Source organism: Homo sapiens, chromosome 22 (genome assembly GCF_000001405.40).
Source record: "Homo sapiens chromosome 22, GRCh38.p14 Primary Assembly".
Lineage (NCBI taxonomy): Eukaryota > Metazoa > Chordata > Mammalia > Primates > Hominidae > Homo > Homo sapiens.
Window position 1 is genome coordinate 29,763,812 of NC_000022.11, and position 15,745 is coordinate 29,779,556.

Genomic DNA, 15,745 nt, shown 5'->3' on the forward strand with positions numbered 1-15,745 from the left:
CATAGTGGCATGCACCTGTAGTCCCAGCTACTTGGAAGGCTGAGGTGGGAGTACCACTTGAGCCCAGGAGTTCGAGGCTGCAGTGAACTATGATCGTGCCACTACACTCCAGCCTGGGCAACAGAGTAAGACCCTTTCTCAAAATAATAATAGTAATAATAATAACCCAGCATGGTGGTGCACACCTGTAATCCCAGCTATTTGGGAGGTTGAAGCAGGTGAATTGCTTGAGCCCAGGAGTTCCAGGCTGCAAGGAACTATGATTATTACAACCAGGAATTATGTGCCACTGTACTCCAGCCTGGGCAATGGAGGGAGACCCTGTCTCTACAAAAATAAAACATAATAAAACCAAATGAAACAAGCCACACCTTTAACTCCCTGTGGTCTTCCCTACTCATTTCTCCCTCCTCTGAACTTCCCATCAGCCAGATTGGTTGGAAATGATTAGCAAGACCTAAGTAGTCTTCCCCTGGAGCCTCACAACTTCCTGCTCTGAGGGGCTCCCAGGATGCTTTGCAAATAGTATAAAACCACAGTAAGGATAACTCATGGATGTAAAGCATTTCACATTTTACCTTCTGATCCCCTAACCTGGTATTACTGTTGCTCTTTACAGATGAATTAAAAGAGAGTTAAAGCCTGATCAATGTCAGAGTCAGAGGCAGAGCCAGGCCTGCAATCCAATCCCTAGTTTTTGTTTGTTTTGTTTTCATTTGAGCTCCATCACCCAGGCTGGAGTGCAGTGACGCGATCTCAGTTAGTGGCAGCCTCCGCCTCCCAGGTTCAAGCGATTCTCCTGCCTCAGCCTCCCGAGTTGCTGGGATTACAAGCGGGTACCACCACACCTGGCTAATTTTTTTGTATTTTTAGTAGAGACAGGGTTTCACCATGTTGGCCAGGCTAGTCTTGAACTCCTGACCTCAAGTGATCCACCCACCTTAGCCTCCCAAAGTGTGGGGATTACAGGTGTGAGCCACCGCGCCTGGCCCCTAGTTTGTTTTTCATGGAGACGGTCTCACTATACGGCCCAGGCTGGTCTTCAACTCTTGGCCTCAAGTGTTCCTCCTGCCTTGGATTCCCAAAACACTGGGATTATAGGTGTGAGGCACCATCCCCAGCCCAGTCCCTGGTTTTGAATGCCACCCCTATCCGGATGACTCTTCTCAGGCTCATACCTCTCCTCTAAACTACAGATCCATGTCCTCATTTGCCTCTAGACACCTCCACTTGATGTCTGTTGGCTAGCTCAAACTGATGTGGCCAAAACAGAACTTAAGATCATTCTGTTGATTTTAAATTGTTGAGGTCAAAACTTAGATGTCAGCTGGACGCGGTGGCTCACACCTGTAATCCCGGCACTTTGGGAGACCGTGGCAGGCGGATCACTTGAGGCCAGGAGTTCAAGACCAGCCTGGCCAACATGGTGAAACCTTGTCTCTACTAAAAATACAAAAATGAGCTGGGCGTGTTGGCATCCGCTTGTAATCCCAGCTATTCAGTAGGCTGAGGCATGAGAATTGCTTGAACATGGGTGGCAGAGGTTGCAGTGAGCCAAGATTGTGCCACTGCACTCCAGCCGCACAGAGTGAGACTCTGTCTCAAAAAAAAACAAAAAACAAAAAACAAAAAAAACTTAGATATCCTCCTCAATTCCTCTTTCCTGTGCACCCTACACACATCTGCTAGCTTGCTCTGTCTGCCCTCCCTCCCAAATTACATCCCAAATCTGATCACTGCCCTGCTCCACACCCTAACCTAAATTACCACCCATCAGGCCGGGCATGGTGGCTCACGCCTGTAATCCCAGCACTTTGGGAGGCCAAGATGGGAGGATCACCTGAAGTCAGGAGTTTGAGACTAGCCTGGCCAACATGGTGAAACCCTGTCTCTACTAAAAAAAAAAATTAGCCAGGCATGGTGGCAGGCGCCTGTAATCCCAGCCACTCGGGAGGCTGAAGCAGGAGAATCACTTGAACCCGGGAGGCGGAGGTTGCAGTAAGCCGAGATAGCACCACTACACTCCAGTCTGGACGACAGACCGAGACTCCATCTCAAATAAATAACCACCCATCTTCCCTCAAATGATCTACTACAATAACTTCCCCCTTGCGGTCCACTCTCCATAGACCAGCCAGGATGATGACATTAAAGTGCACATTAAATCTTGTCGCATTTCTCCTGAAAACCCTTCAATGGCCTCCTAGTGCAACTAGAAAAAGACAAGACTCCTTGGCCAGACGCGGTGGCTCACGCACCTTGGGGGGCGAGGCAGGAAGATTGCTTGAGCCCAGGAGTTGGAGACCAGCCTGGGCAACACAGTGAGACCCTGTCTCTAAAAACAAAAACCAAAGAAAACAAGACTCCGTAAGGTGGGTTCCAAGGCCAGACATGAGCTGACCGGAGTCAACCTCTTCACAGTCCACTCTACTTCTTTCCCTCAAACATCCCAGGACTGTAGCTGCCTCAAGGCCTTTGCACCAACGTTTTCCTGTTCAACTCTACTATTCATTCAGGTCTCTAGTCAAGTGTCACCCCCCAGAGCAGCTACCCAGGGTGCAATGTCACCACCACTGCCTCTCCAGTCAACCAAAGCACTATCTGTTTGCTGTACTGCATCTCCCCACCCGCCCACTCCGTAGATTGAGCGCTCTGTGAGAGCAAGGACTTTGTTCACTGCTGGGTCCCCAGAGCAGGGACCAGAACAGGCGCTGGGAAAACATCTGTTGAATGCCCCAGGTACTCCAAAGCCCTTGCTCTTTTCAATCCCAAGCAGGTTCCAAGTCTCCAGCCTTCCAAACCAGGGTTGCCCGGTGCGAAGCCCAGGGGTGAGAGGAACAGGAAGCAGGGCAGATCCGTCCCTGCCCTTAATCCAGGGTGAAGGGTTTAACCTCCAGGACAAGACTTTTGCCGCAGGCTCCAGCTCCTGGCCTAGACTTGGGGCTGGTGCAGGGGACAAGGCGAAGAGTTGAGCCAGGGTCTCGGGAACCCAGCTGCCCTCGCCCCTCTATCCACACCCTATCCCAAGAAATGGTGCGTCCCGCCGCAGGGCGTACGCACAGAGAAGGAAGTGTTCAAGTCTTCCAGTGCGGAGAAAAGAGACTAGGACTCGCCCCTCGACGTCTCGCGGAAGGTACCTGGCTCCCCGGTGGCTGCAGCTCCGGGCTCCTCCTCCTGCGTCCTCGCGTCGCGTACTGCTTGCTGGGATTCGTAGTCTCGCCTTGGCCATCAGTTCGCCCTTCCCAGAGAGCTTTGGGAATCTAAGCCGGGACTGGGCGGAGGGCGGGGAGAAGGTGATGGCGCGCGAGGGCTTCTGGGAGTTGTAGTTTGACATATTCTAACAGCCAGGAATTCTGGAGAAGAAAAATTGGGTAATAAATCTTATCAGATTATCTGGGCTGTCCTGATATGAACCTTTTGAGTTTTTTTCCTCATTCCCAGGATAGGAATACCTCTGTGGTTCAAAACACGAAGGCTGAGATTCAGAGGAACTACAAATCCCATAAAGTGTTGCACGTCTAGGGCCTTTGGGGAACGAGGTCGGCCCCAGCGCAGGCGCGGTGGCGCGAGTTGGACTGTGAAGAAACATGGCGGCCGCGACGTTGACTTCGAAATTGTACTCCCTGCTGTTCCGCAGGACCTCCACCTTCGCCCTCACCATCATCGTGGGCGTCATGTTCTTCGAGCGCGCCTTCGATCAAGGCGCGGACGCTATCTACGACCACATCAACGAGGGGGTGAGGGCCTGTGCCATCCCTGACCTTGGACCCGCCTGAGGGGTGACAGTGGAGTAGAGGTGGGATGGGACTCAGTATACTTTTACCAGGAAGGGGGTAAGGGGTAAACCGTCGGCGTCTTCTGTCTCGAGTCCGCCGTCTGTCCCCTTGGCTTGATGTGAATTCTAAAACGTTAAGCGAGGTTAATATATTTCATTTTGCAGGGGTTGTAAGTATTGCTGTGTGCCACCCTACATACCCACTTGCCCATTATCAGAAGCAAAAACTAAAGGCTAGTGAGAGCAAAGGACTTACTAGCTGCACAGGAAGCCAGGGGCAAGTCAGGGCCAGAAACGGGACCCCTGTCTCTCAGAGTTTCAAGGGCAGATTTGAGCAGGCGACGGTCGTGAAAAGGACGTTAGACACCTTAGACGCCGTGGCTGAAGTTTCAGACGGCGCTTCTGGTCCCCAAGGCTTCCCACGTAGACAGTTGGTATTAATGGTTGAGAGTGGGGGCTATGAAATCAGAAAGCCTTGGATAGGAACACTGGTCCTTGTCACTTAACTGTGGCATTAAGTTGAGCAAGTTTCTTCTCTGAACTCCGTTTTAACTGTGAGATGGAGATATTAATAGTAACCTGAGCACGATTGTGAGGATTACATGAGATGCAGGCAGGGTGCCACATGCCTGGTAGGTGGTACCACTGAAAAATAATCATTGCTTACATTCCTCAGGAGAAAGTGGAAGCATGAGGTAGGAATCGCAACACATTTTTGACTTTTATGTATCATGCACTGTGCTAGGTGCAGTGCATGCTTTATATCGCTAAATTATGACTGTGCTGGAGTAGGCCTTATACATATAGCCCTGTTCCACCACTCACTTGTGTTTTTAATTTGAGACTGTCTGACTCTGCAGCCCGGGAAGGCACTGTCCACTAGTGCTATGCTGCCTGTGACCAGTGCAACTTCCTGCCCCATATGAAAGCATTGCTACTGTCCCATCTCTTGCAAGTGGTTCTGTTAACCACTCCCATTGATCTGGAGAGACATCCAAGTATGTTGTTATAACTCACCCATTTTCCTTGTGCTTTTTTTTGTTTTGTTTTGTTTTTTTGAGACAGGATCTCACTCTGTCGCCCAGGTTGGAGTGCAGTGGCATGATCACAGCTCACTGCAGCCTTGACCTCCTGGGTTCAAGTGATCTTCCCACCTCAGCCTCCTGAGTAGCTGGGACCACAGGCATGCGCCACCACGCCCAGCTAATTTTTGTATTTTTTGTAGAGATGGGGTTTCACCATGTTGCCCAGGCTGGTCTTGAATTCCTGAGCTCAGGCAGTCCTCCTGCCTTAGCCTTCTAAAGTACTGGGATTACAGGCGTGAGCCACTGTGCTCAACCTCTTGTGCTTCTGGGAATGAGAATTTCAGCCAATTTAGGTCCCAGGAAATGTCTTAAATGGCTCATGGTGAAATATTTTGGGACTACGCACTTATAATCTCTTCAGTAATACCTGGGAGTTGAAGAACTGAGACATCTTCCAGGCTGTTTTCCTTAATAATTGTGTGTTTTGGGGCACTTCCCTCAATCTCAAACTGAATTTCCTGTGAAATTAAGATCACCCCTTTCCACTTACTTCACCTGGTGATTGAAAGCATCATAGTATTTTATAAATGCCAAGAATTATGCATGAAGGCTCGGCGCGGTGGCTCACACCTGTCATCCCAGCGCTTTGGGAGGCCAAGGCAGGCAGATCACTTGAGGTCAGGAGTTTGAGACCAGCTTGGCCAACATGGCGAAACCCCATCTCTACTAAAAATACAAAAATTAGCCGGGTAGCGCATACCTGTATTCCCAGCTGCTCTTGAAGCTGAGGCAGGAGAATCGCTCGAACCCAAGAGGCTGAGGTTGCAGTGAGCCGAGATTGCGCCACTACACTCCAGCCTGGGCGATAGAGCGAGTCTCCGTCTCAAAAAAAAAATGTGCATCAAGCATAGGATTGCTTCGAGTTTGCCCACCACAAGTGTATCTTTTTAATCAGGACATGGCATGTGTTTCCCCCAAGCTCATTTTAGAGACCAGGGCAGTGGGAGTAGTTGTAAAATGTGAGAGGCAAAGGTCAAAGTTTGTGGCTCTTGTCTTTAAAATGCAGAAGCTGTGGAAACACATCAAGCACAAGTATGAGAACAAGTAGTTCCTTGGAGGCCCCCATCCAGGCCAGAAGGACCAGGTCCACCCAGCAGCTGTTTGCCCAGAGCTGGAGCCTCAGCTTGAAGATGATGCTCAAGGTACTCTTCATGGACCACCATTCGCTGTTGGCAAGAAACGGCTTTACTTACAAAACAGACTCTTTACCTTCTGCTGTGTTTGAAGTATGTTTAGTCAGCATGCTCAGGAAATAAATGTGAATTGCCCTTGAGACCTGCTTCTACATTGGTTGCTTTGTTAACTCTACCTGATCTTCACTTGTCAGTAATTTGAGACCACTTCAAAGCCCTCTGCAAACACCCCAAAGGCAGAATCTGCTATTTTGAGTTTTCCATTAACTTCCAAAGAATTCTGGTTTTCAAAACAGGAGCCAGAGTTGGAGATATTACAGTCAACTTTGGCTTCTAAGCCAGTAATTCCATTCTTAAATACCTCACTGTCTTGGCCATGGGGAAGCACTATGGCCTCAGCTGGGGGAAAGACCCTGGCCTAGGGGTCTTAGCCACTCCCCACCCTAGGGTATAGTTCAGGGGTATCCAATCCTTTGGCTTCCCTGGGCCATGTTGGAAGAATTGTCTTGGGCCACACATAAAATACAGTAACCATAGCTGATGAGCTAAAACAAAAAACAATGGTTTGTGCAAAAATCTCATAATGTTTTAATAAAGTTGAAGAATTTGTGTTTGGGCCTCATTCAAAGCCATCCTGGGCTGCGTGCAGCCTGCAGGCCACGGGTTGGACAAGCTTGGTGTATTCTGCCTATTACTGAGTATCTTTTGGTAAGCAGTCATACCTCTCTGGGTCACAGCCTCCTGCCACAGTTCCACTCTGATGAGTTCAGTTCATAAAAGTGCTTAGTTGGTGGGTTTGAATCCTTACTCCACTGATTCTAGCTATGGGAACCAAGGTGATATGGTTTGGCTGTGTCCCCACCCAAATCTCGTTTTGAATTGTAGCTCCCATAGTGCCCATGTGTTGTGGGAGGGACTCGGTGGGAGATAATTGAATCATGGGAGCGGTTCCCCCACACTGTTCTCGTGATAGTGAATAAGTCTCACGAGATCTGATGATTTTATAAGGGGTTTCCCCTTTTGCTTGGCTCTGATTCTCTTGCCTGCTGCCATGTAAGACGGGCCTTTCGCCTTCCACCATGATTGTGAGGCCTCCTCAGCCATGTGGAAATGCGAATGCATTAAACCTCTTTTTATAAATTACCCAGTCTCGGGTATGTCTTTATCAGCAGCGTGAAAATGGACTAATACACAAGGGCAAGGCACTTGAACTTGCTGAACTCCGGTTTCCTTATCTGTAAAATGGGGTAGTAGAACATACTGTGTGGGATTTTTGGGAGTATTAAAGGAGTTGCAGGCCTGTAATCCCAGCACTTTAGGAGGCTGAGGTGGGAGGATTGCTTGAGGCCAACAGTTTAAGACCAGTCTAAGCAACATAGTGAGATACCCTGCCTCTACAAAAAAATTTAAAATTACCTGAGCATGGTGGCACCAGCCTATAATCCCAGCTACTTGGGAGGCTGAGGTGGGAGGATTACTTGAGCCAAGAAGTTAAGGTTACAGTGAGTTATGATTGTGCCACTGCACTCCTGCCTGGGGGAGAGTGAGACCCTGTCTCTAAAAATTTTTGGCTGGGCATAGTGTCTCACACCTGTAATCCCAGCACTTTGGGAGGCCAAGGCAGGCGGATCACTTAAGGTCAGGAGCTCAAGACCAGCCTGGCCAACATGGTGAAACCCCATCTCTACTAAAAATACAAAAATTAGCCGAGTGTGGTGGCATATGCTTGTAATCCCAGCTACTCGGGAGGCTGAGGCAGGAGAATTGCTTGAACTCGGGAAGTGGAGGTTACAGTGAGCCGAGATTGCGCCACTACACTCCAGCCTGGGAGACAGCAAGACTGTCTTGCTCTGTCATCCAGAATGGAATGCTATGGCCTGATCTCAGCTCAATGCAGCCTCGACCTGGGTGCAAACAATCCTCCCACCTCAGCCTCCCAGGTAGCTGGGACTACAGGTGTGCGCCACCACTCCCCACTAGTTTTTTTGTATTTTTTGTAGAGGTAGGGTTTTGCCATGTTGCCCAGGCTGGTCTCGAACTCCTGGACTCAAGACATCCTCCTGCCTTGGCTTCCCAAAGTGTTGGGATTACAGGCGTGAGCCACCATGCCCAGCCAAAAATGTTTTTAAATTAAATTTTTAAAAATAGAGGAGCTGTAGGCCGGGCGTGGTGGCTCACGCCTGTAATCCCAGCACTTTGTGAGGCCGAGGTGGGTGGATCACGAGGTCAGGAGATTGAGACCATCCTGGCTAACACGGTGAAACCCCATTTCTACTAAAAATACAAAAACATTAGCCGGGCGTGGTGGCGGGCGCCTGTAGTCCCAGCTACTCGGGAGGCTGAGGCAGGAGAACGGCGTGAACCCGGGAGGCGGAGGTTGCAATGAGCAGAGATCGCATCACTGCACTCCAGCCTGGGCAACAGAGCAAGACTCCATCTCAAAAAAAAAAAAAAAAATAGACGAGCTGTAATGCAGTTAGCACAGTCACAGATGCTGGCACATGGAAGAAACTGTTGGCAGAGAGACATGGAGGCTAAGGACTCAGAAAACCAGACGATTCTGCTGGAAGGCTGGAGCAGTAGGAATGTGAAGAGGAGGAGTTGGAGAAACGTCTGGTCATTCATTCAGCAAGTGTTTGGCTGGCCACTGTGAGGCACTGTGCTAGCAGGACATATGATGGTAATATAGCATGTGGGGCTTAAACTCCTATGGGGAAGACACTAAAAGCCATCCTGTATTATTACAGACTGAGCCAAAGGCTCTGGGAAGCAGTGCAAGGAGAGGGAGGGATTAACCAGGGTGACAGCTGGTCTAGGGAAGCCTCAGAAGAGCTGAGACCGATAGGTGATAAAGATGAGCCACTTACGTTGGGCGTTAGAGGCAAAGCAGGGGAAGTAGCAGGTTTTAGGGCCCATATGGGGAAAGCACTTGCTGTGTTGCAGGAGCTCACAGGCCAGGTAGATGAGGTTGAAGGTGGAGAATACACGAGACCAGATCATTCAGGACCTGGTAAGTCATAGTGAAGAATCTGGGCCGGGCACAGTGGTTCATGCCTGCAATCCCAGCACTTTGGGAGGCCGAGGTGGGTGGATCACTTGAGGTCAGGAGTTCAAGACCAGCCTGGCCAACATGGTGAAACCCCTGTCTCTACTAAAAATACAAAAATTAGCGGGGGCGTGGTGGCGTGCACCTATAACCCCAGCTACTTGGGAGGGTGAGGCAGGAGAATCGTTTGAACCTGGGAGGCAGAGGTTGTAGTGAGCTGAGGTCTCACCACTGCACTCTAGCCTGGGCGATAGAGTGAGACTCCATCTCAAAAAAAAAAAAAAAAAAAAAAAAGAATCTGGATTTTACCAAAATTAGAATGAGTAGCTACTACTGAAAATGTCTTAAGCAAGGGAGCAACAAGCTCTGTCATATAAAAACCTCACTCTGGGAACTGTGGGGCAATTAGATTGGAAGTGGGTGGGAATAAAAGCAGAGAGCCTAGCTAGGAGGCTGATGCCTGGCTCCTGGTTAGAGCTGATGGCTGTTAGAGACCTTGCAGCCTGGCTGGAAACCGTGCCTCCTGGCTGGGAGTGCCAGAGGAGAACACTGGGAAGCCCTGAGCAGGCATAGAGCAGTTGTTTTGTAGCTGGGGTGGCTGCCTGGCCTAGTAAGGTAAATGACTCACCCGTCTGCCATCTTTCACCTACAGCCTGATGTGATTCAGCCAGAGCTGGATTATCCAGAATCTTCTCTGATGGAGGAAGATTCAGGTCAGGAAACCCATGGAGAGGTAGGAGAGACCCTAGAAATTGTCCAGTTTTTCCTACCTGAGGTGTATCTTTGTGAAGACGAAGTTGAAGCCTAGAAAAATCATGACCTGCTGAAGATAGTATAGCTCTGGGGGTCAAATCAAGACCTAAACCAGGCCAGGCGCGGTCAGACGTGGTGGCTCACGCCTGTAATCCCAACACTTTGAGAGGCCAAGGCAGGTGAATCACTTGAGGTCAGGAGTTCGAGACCAGCCTGGGCAACATGGCAAAACCCTGTCTCTACTAAAAATACAAAAATTAGCCGGGTGTGATGGCTCATGCCTGTAATCCCAGCTACTCGGGAGGCTGAGGCAGGAGAATCGCTTTAACCTGGGAGTCAGAGGTTGCAGTGAGCTGAGATTGTGCCACTGCACTCCAGCCTGGGCAACAGAGCGAGACCCCATCTCAAAAACAAACAAACAAAAAACGCATAAAAAATTAAAGTTAGTTTTATTCAGAAGTTTTTTTGTTTTTTCTGTGTGTGTGCTTTTTTTTTTTTTTTTGAGAAAAAAAAAAAAAAAAAAAAAGGAGCCCTGAACCAAAGCGGAGGCTATTCTAAGACTTTTGTTTTTGAGACGCCATAATAGCTCACTGCAGCTTTGAACTCCTGGGCTCCTCCTGCCTCGGCCTCCTGAGTTGCTGGGAGTACAGGTGTGTGCCATTGTGCCCAGCTAATTTTTTGCAGAGACGTGGTCTTGCCATTACCCAGAAGGCTCTTAAACTCCCGGCCTCCAGTGATCCTCCCTCCTTGGCCTCCCAAAACACTAGGAAAATAGGCGTGAGGCACTATCCCTGGTCTCAGATGTTTATGAATGATTTCAGCATCACATAGAGAATGACTCTGGGGGTTGAAGATTGCAACTTATATTAAATTGTTCCCAATTATTTGAGGGCAACATTCTGGTAAACAATAAAGCAGGGGCCAGGCACAGTGGCTCACGCCTGTAATCCCAGCACTTTGGGAGGCTGAGGCGGGTGGATCACTTGAGGTCAGGAGTTCGAGACCAGCCTGGCCAACATGGTGAAACCCTGTCTCTACTAAAAATACAAAAATTAGCTGGGCGTGGTGGTGTCTGCCTGTAGTCCCAGCTACTCAGGAGGCTGAGACAGGAGAATCGCTTAAATCTGGGAGGCAGAGGTTGCAGTGAGCCGAGATCGTGCCACTGCACTCCAGCCTGGGTGACAGAGCGAGACACCATCTGAAAACAAACAAACAAACAAACAAAAATGCATAAAGAATTAAAGTTAGTTTTATTAAGAAGTCTTTTTTTTTTTTGAGGCAGGGTCTTACTCTATTACCCAGGCCAAAGTATAATGGCACAATCATGGCTCATTGCAGCCTCCAACTCCTGGGCTCAAAGGATCTCCTTGCCTCAGCCTCTCCAGTAGCTGGGACTATAGTTGCCTGCCACCACACCCAGCTAATTTAAAAATTTTTCTTTTATAGAGATGGAGTCTCACTATGTTGACCAGGCTGGTTTTGAACTCCTGGCTTCAAGTGATCCTCCTGCCTCAGCCTCCCAAAGTGCTGAGATTACAAGAGTGAGTCATTGTGCCCAGTCTTGCTCTGTTACCCAGGCTAGAGTGCGGTGGCGTGATCTCGGCTCACTGCAACCTCCACTTCCCGGGTTCCAGCAGTTCTGCCTCAGCCTCCCGAGTAGCTGGGATTACAGGCACCCACCACCATGCCTGACTAATTTTTTTATTTTGTAGTAGAGATCGGGTTTCACCATGTTGGCCAGGCTGTTCTCGAACTCCTGATCTCAGGTGATCTGCCCACCTTGGCCTCCCAAAGTGCTGGGATTACAGGCATAAGCCACCGTGCCCATCCAGCCTATTTTTTGTTTGTTTTTAAGAGATGGGGGTCTTGCTATGTTGCCAAGGCTGGTCTTGAACTCCTGGCCTCAAGTGATGCTTCTACCTTGGCCTCCCAAAGTGCTAGGATTACAAGCATGAGTCACTGTATCCCACCGTTATTTTTCTTTGCCATTGTATTTTCTAGATTTCTAACTTTTCTGCATCAACCGTGTATTATTTTTATAAGGTGGGGTACATAAATTAAAAGGGGGTTTCCCAGATAGAGAGTGAATACAGAGAGCTAAGAAACGTGAGCCACCAGCTCTGGCTCCAGGCCTGGAACCCCTCTGCTTTGTGGCCCAGGACTCCCTCCTCAGATGCCAATGAGGACTTGTCCCTCGGTGGCACTGCCAAATGAGAGCTGCCTCCCCACCCCCCCGCCCCAGAGCTCCCTGGATGGGACTGCCATGCAGGTGGGAAGAGGTAGGATTAACACCCTCCTCCAATTGGCACCAAGAAGCTGTTTATAACTAGAAAACAGTTCTCCTCCCTCCCAAGCTTAGCCTGAGGCATTTCCTGGAGGCAAAAGCTGGGACAGTCTTTAAAGTCAGAAAGCCTCAAGGGCTTCCCACTTGCTCCCCAGCACAGGTGTTAGGAAAAGTTAAATACTTGGGTACCTTGGAAAGTGAGTTCCAGAAAGTCTCTGATCCCACATAACTCTGAGCAAGCAGGACCACTCTCCTAAGAGTACTGGAGTTAATGTCATTTCCCTAGCTTCTCTCTTGTGCTCAAAAATATCTCTTAAGCTGGGCGCAGTGGCTCATGCCTGTAATCCCAACACTTTGGGAGGCCAAGGCGGGAGGATCGCTTGAGCCTAGGAGTTTGAGACTAGCCTGGGCAACATGAGACCCTGTCTCTACAAAAAGTAAAAAAAAAAAGAATTTCAGCTCAGGTTAGGGCTATGAAGAAAATCAAACTGATAATTTATGGAGAGTGACTCTGGTTTGAAGAGTAACGTTACATGCGCTTTGTTTCTTTTATCTTTTTTTTTTTTTTTTTTTTTTTTTGAGACAGGGTCTCACTCAGTCTCCTAGGCTGGAGTGCAGTGGCACCGTCTCGGCTCACTGCAACTTCTGCCTCCCGGGTTCAAATGATTCTTGTGCCTCAGCCTCCCAAGTAGCTGGGATTACAGGTGTGTGCTACCATGCCCAGATTATTTTTTGTATTTTAATAGAGATGGGGTTTCACCACGTTGCCCAGGCAATCCACCCACCTTAGCCTCCCGAAGTGCTGAGATTACCTGCATGAGCCACCGTGGCCAGCCAAGAGCATTGATTTTAGAATGGACAGTCCTGGGTTAGACTTCAAGCCCCACCACTCACCGGCTGTGCGAACTCAGACAAGTTACTTACCCTCTCTCAGCCAGTTCCTTTATCTGTAAAATAAATAACCCCCATGATACTGCACAATGGCAGCCATAATTCTTGTTGTTTCTGAGGGTGTTGTTATCTAGGAGGGGTGTCAAGGGAAGTAAACTCTGTATAGTAAATCTCCACCCAGCTGACTGCTTAAATAACCCAGCCAGAGGGTACCCTAGAAGCTTCTGGCACCCCAGGGCTGCCTGCCAGGGCTTAAAACATTTTACCTCTGTGTTGTCATGGTGGCCCAAAGAAGGAAGGCCCAGCTCTCAGAACATTCTAGGTTTGTACACCAAGCACACGTTGAGCTTGTCCCAGGTAGACACAAGGATGCTTCCTAACCACAGGCTGGGTTCCCTGGGGAGTGGACTCCACTGGGGGCTAGTGTAGACCAAGGAAAAGAAACAGGACCAGCAGAAGAAGTCAGACTGGCTGGGCGTGGTGGCTCATCCCTGTAATCCCAACACTTTGGGAGGCCGAGGCAGATGGATCATCTGAGGTCAGGAGTTTGAGACCAGCCTGGCCAAATGGTGAAACCCCGTCTCTACTAAAAATACGAAAAATTAGCTGGGCATGGTGGTGGGGGGGGGGGCACCTGTAATCCCAGCTACTTGGGAAACTGAGACAGGAGAATTGCTTGAACCTGGGAGGCAGAGGCTGCAGTGAGCTGACATCACACCACTGCCCTCTTGCCTGGGCGACAGAGTGAGACTCCATTTCAAAAAAAAAAAAGAAGTCAGACCAAGATGTAGATGTGTTCTTTGTGTTTTTGTTTTTGTTGTTGTTTTTGAGACGGAGTCTTGCTCTGTCACCCAGGCTGGAGTGCAATGGCATGATCTTGGCTCACTGTAACCTCTGCCTCCTGGATTCAGGTGATTTTCCCACCTTAGTCTCCCGAGTAGCTGGGACTACAGGCTCCCACCACCACGTCTGGCTAGTTTTGGTATTTTTAGTAGAGACAGGGTTTCACTATGTTGGCCAGGCTGGTCTCAAACTCCTGATCTTGTGATCCACCCGCCTCGGCCTCCCAAAGTGCTGGGATTACAGGTGTGAGCCACTGCATCTGGCCATAGATGCAGTTTCAACAAAGGCTTCCGCTGACCCTGGTTAGTTCTGAAGCATGGCCGTTCAGAGCTGTCCTGATCTGGGTGACCAGGGCCATTTATAGCCTCTTTTTCTTTTTGAGTTTTTTTTTTTTTCTTTTGGTAGAGACGGGGTTTCACCATGTTACCCAGGCTGGTCTTGAATTCCTGGACTCAAGTGATCTGCCTGCCTTGTTCTCCCAAAGTGCTGGGATTACAGGCGTGAGCCACCGCACCCAGACTGTAGTCTCTTTTGATCACTCGCTGGAGGCTGCTGCCTAGGAAGTGGGCAGACAGGGCAGGGCAGTTCTCTTCAGCCTGGCCAATCCCTGAAGAGGCCAACAGCACGTCCAGCATCTGAGGTGGTAAATCTTTCGTACTGAAGGGACTATGGGTACCCACCACACTCCCCTCCCTACCTCTGCATCTTTCTCCGGCCCATTTTATACCTGCATCTGCTTCTTGAAGCTCTGTAACAACAGATTGGCAAAATAAAAATCACTAGATGTCCTTTTACTTATTAAATTCACAAAGTTTTTTTTTTTTAATCATTATAATATCCGGCATGAGCCAAGATATGGGAAATGATCGTTTCAAACACTGCTGGCGGGAAGACCCATTCAACAACATCAGTCAAAAAACTTGACCCAGCAATTCTATTTCTAAGAATTTATCCTGAGAAGATAATCATGATTGTGGGCAAATATTTAGCCAGGAGACTCTTCATTGTAGCTTAACGGCAAATAATTAGAAAGAACCTCAATGTACAAAAACAGGGAATTGCCCGACTAAAGCATGGTATAATAGAAGACAAGTAAGCCATTCGACATGATGCAGATGAGAAACAGAAAGATGTTCACAATATCTCATTACCTGAATAAATGGTGATAATAGCATGTGTAGTACGATCCCATATTTGTAGAAAACCATTATGTGTATTCTTTTTTTCTAAAAAAAAAATGCTGTAAGGATAAGAACTAAAATCTTAACAGTGATTATTTCCGCATGGCAGGATTATCAGTAGTTTTCCTTTGCTTATTTGTGTGAACCACACCGAGCATGTTACTGCTTTTGTACTAAGGGGGGAAGCAATGTAAGTTATTAAAAAGAAATAGATTCCATCCCCATGACTCAGTCAGCCCTTCCAAACACAAGGAACAAGGACCGTCCTACAAATGAGTTTGAAGTCCTCTGGGGAAAGGACAGAAATCAATGAATTTACAATGCCTGAGCAATGTGCAAAGTTGGAGAGAATACAAATTCCTTGCACAAGACGGAGGTTGTGGCAGCTGCTTGAGTGACAGCAAAGGACGAACACTCTGTACTGTGTGGGGCAGGCAACCAGCACACACAGAAGATCACACACACAAAAATAGTGCCTTCTCTGGGCACTCACTCGGGGGCAGGCCTGGGCCAGGTGCCGCACATGCACCCTGTGTCACTGGATTGTCATTCCAAGTGGAAAATGAGGCTCAGAGAGGTTAAGTGTCTTGCCCAGGGTAACGCAGCTAGTGAGAGTAGAGCAGAGATCCAAATGCAGGACCATTGGCTATGCTCATATTTATTACTATGTGCCATGTAAAAAAAAAATCATTTTTCTCTTTTCTTTGGGGCCTTGGCCTGATATGCTTGAATTTATATATAGACCGAATGCCAA

At 48.7% G+C, this 15,745-nt stretch overlaps 2 protein-coding genes across 5 annotated transcripts in view, besides 5 other annotated features; one reads left to right on the forward strand and one right to left on the reverse strand.

Moving 5' to 3' along the window:
* The window catches only part of ZMAT5 (zinc finger matrin-type 5), a 36,052-nt gene extending 32,856 nt beyond the window's left edge, over positions 1 to 3,196 (reverse strand). For 2 of the 3 annotated variants that reach the window (NM_001003692.2, NM_019103.3), the window contains exon 1: positions 3,061 to 3,196. The gene's annotated coding sequence lies outside the window, so the exon portion shown is untranslated. The remainder of the gene's footprint in view (positions 1 to 3,060) is intronic. The other variant, NM_001318129.2, reaches the window with a different exon arrangement.
* Positions 2,431 to 3,080: an enhancer, noted in NCBI's record as "H3K27ac-H3K4me1 hESC enhancer chr22:30162231-30162880 (GRCh37/hg19 assembly coordinates)". NCBI's record gives its function as "activates a minimal SCP1, AML or CMV promoter by ChIP-STARR-seq in primed H9 embryonic stem cells {active_cell/tissue: H9 hESC(primed)}" and the evidence as "EXISTENCE:reporter gene assay evidence [ECO:0000049][PMID:30033119]".
* Positions 3,050 to 3,279: an enhancer, noted in NCBI's record as "active region_18818". NCBI's record gives its function as "activates an Ori minimal core promoter by ATAC-STARR-seq in GM12878 lymphoblastoid cells {active_cell/tissue: GM12878}" and the evidence as "EXISTENCE:reporter gene assay evidence [ECO:0000049][PMID:35858748]".
* Positions 3,050 to 3,730: a biological region, named in NCBI's record as "H3K27ac hESC enhancer GRCh37_chr22:30162881-30163530".
* Positions 3,081 to 3,730: an enhancer, noted in NCBI's record as "H3K27ac hESC enhancer chr22:30162881-30163530 (GRCh37/hg19 assembly coordinates)". NCBI's record gives its function as "activates a minimal SCP1, AML or CMV promoter by ChIP-STARR-seq in primed H9 embryonic stem cells {active_cell/tissue: H9 hESC(primed)}" and the evidence as "EXISTENCE:reporter gene assay evidence [ECO:0000049][PMID:30033119]".
* UQCR10 (ubiquinol-cytochrome c reductase, complex III subunit X) lies at positions 3,558 to 6,602 on the forward strand. Of its 2 annotated transcripts, none has more exons than NM_001003684.2 (2): positions 3,558 to 3,796; positions 5,867 to 6,602. In NM_001003684.2, the coding sequence occupies exon 1, from the start codon at positions 3,588 to 3,590 to the stop codon at positions 3,774 to 3,776; it is 189 nt and encodes a 62-aa protein (NP_001003684.1). In that variant the 5' UTR covers positions 3,558 to 3,587; the 3' UTR covers positions 3,777 to 3,796; positions 5,867 to 6,602. The 2 variants fall into 2 exon arrangements, with proteins under 2 accessions (NP_001003684.1, NP_037519.2); NM_013387.4 differs by having other exon boundaries at positions 3,558 to 3,737.
* Positions 3,640 to 3,689: an enhancer, noted in NCBI's record as "active region_18819". NCBI's record gives its function as "activates an Ori minimal core promoter by ATAC-STARR-seq in GM12878 lymphoblastoid cells {active_cell/tissue: GM12878}" and the evidence as "EXISTENCE:reporter gene assay evidence [ECO:0000049][PMID:35858748]".
* Positions 6,603 to 15,745: the final 9,143 nt, after the last annotated feature.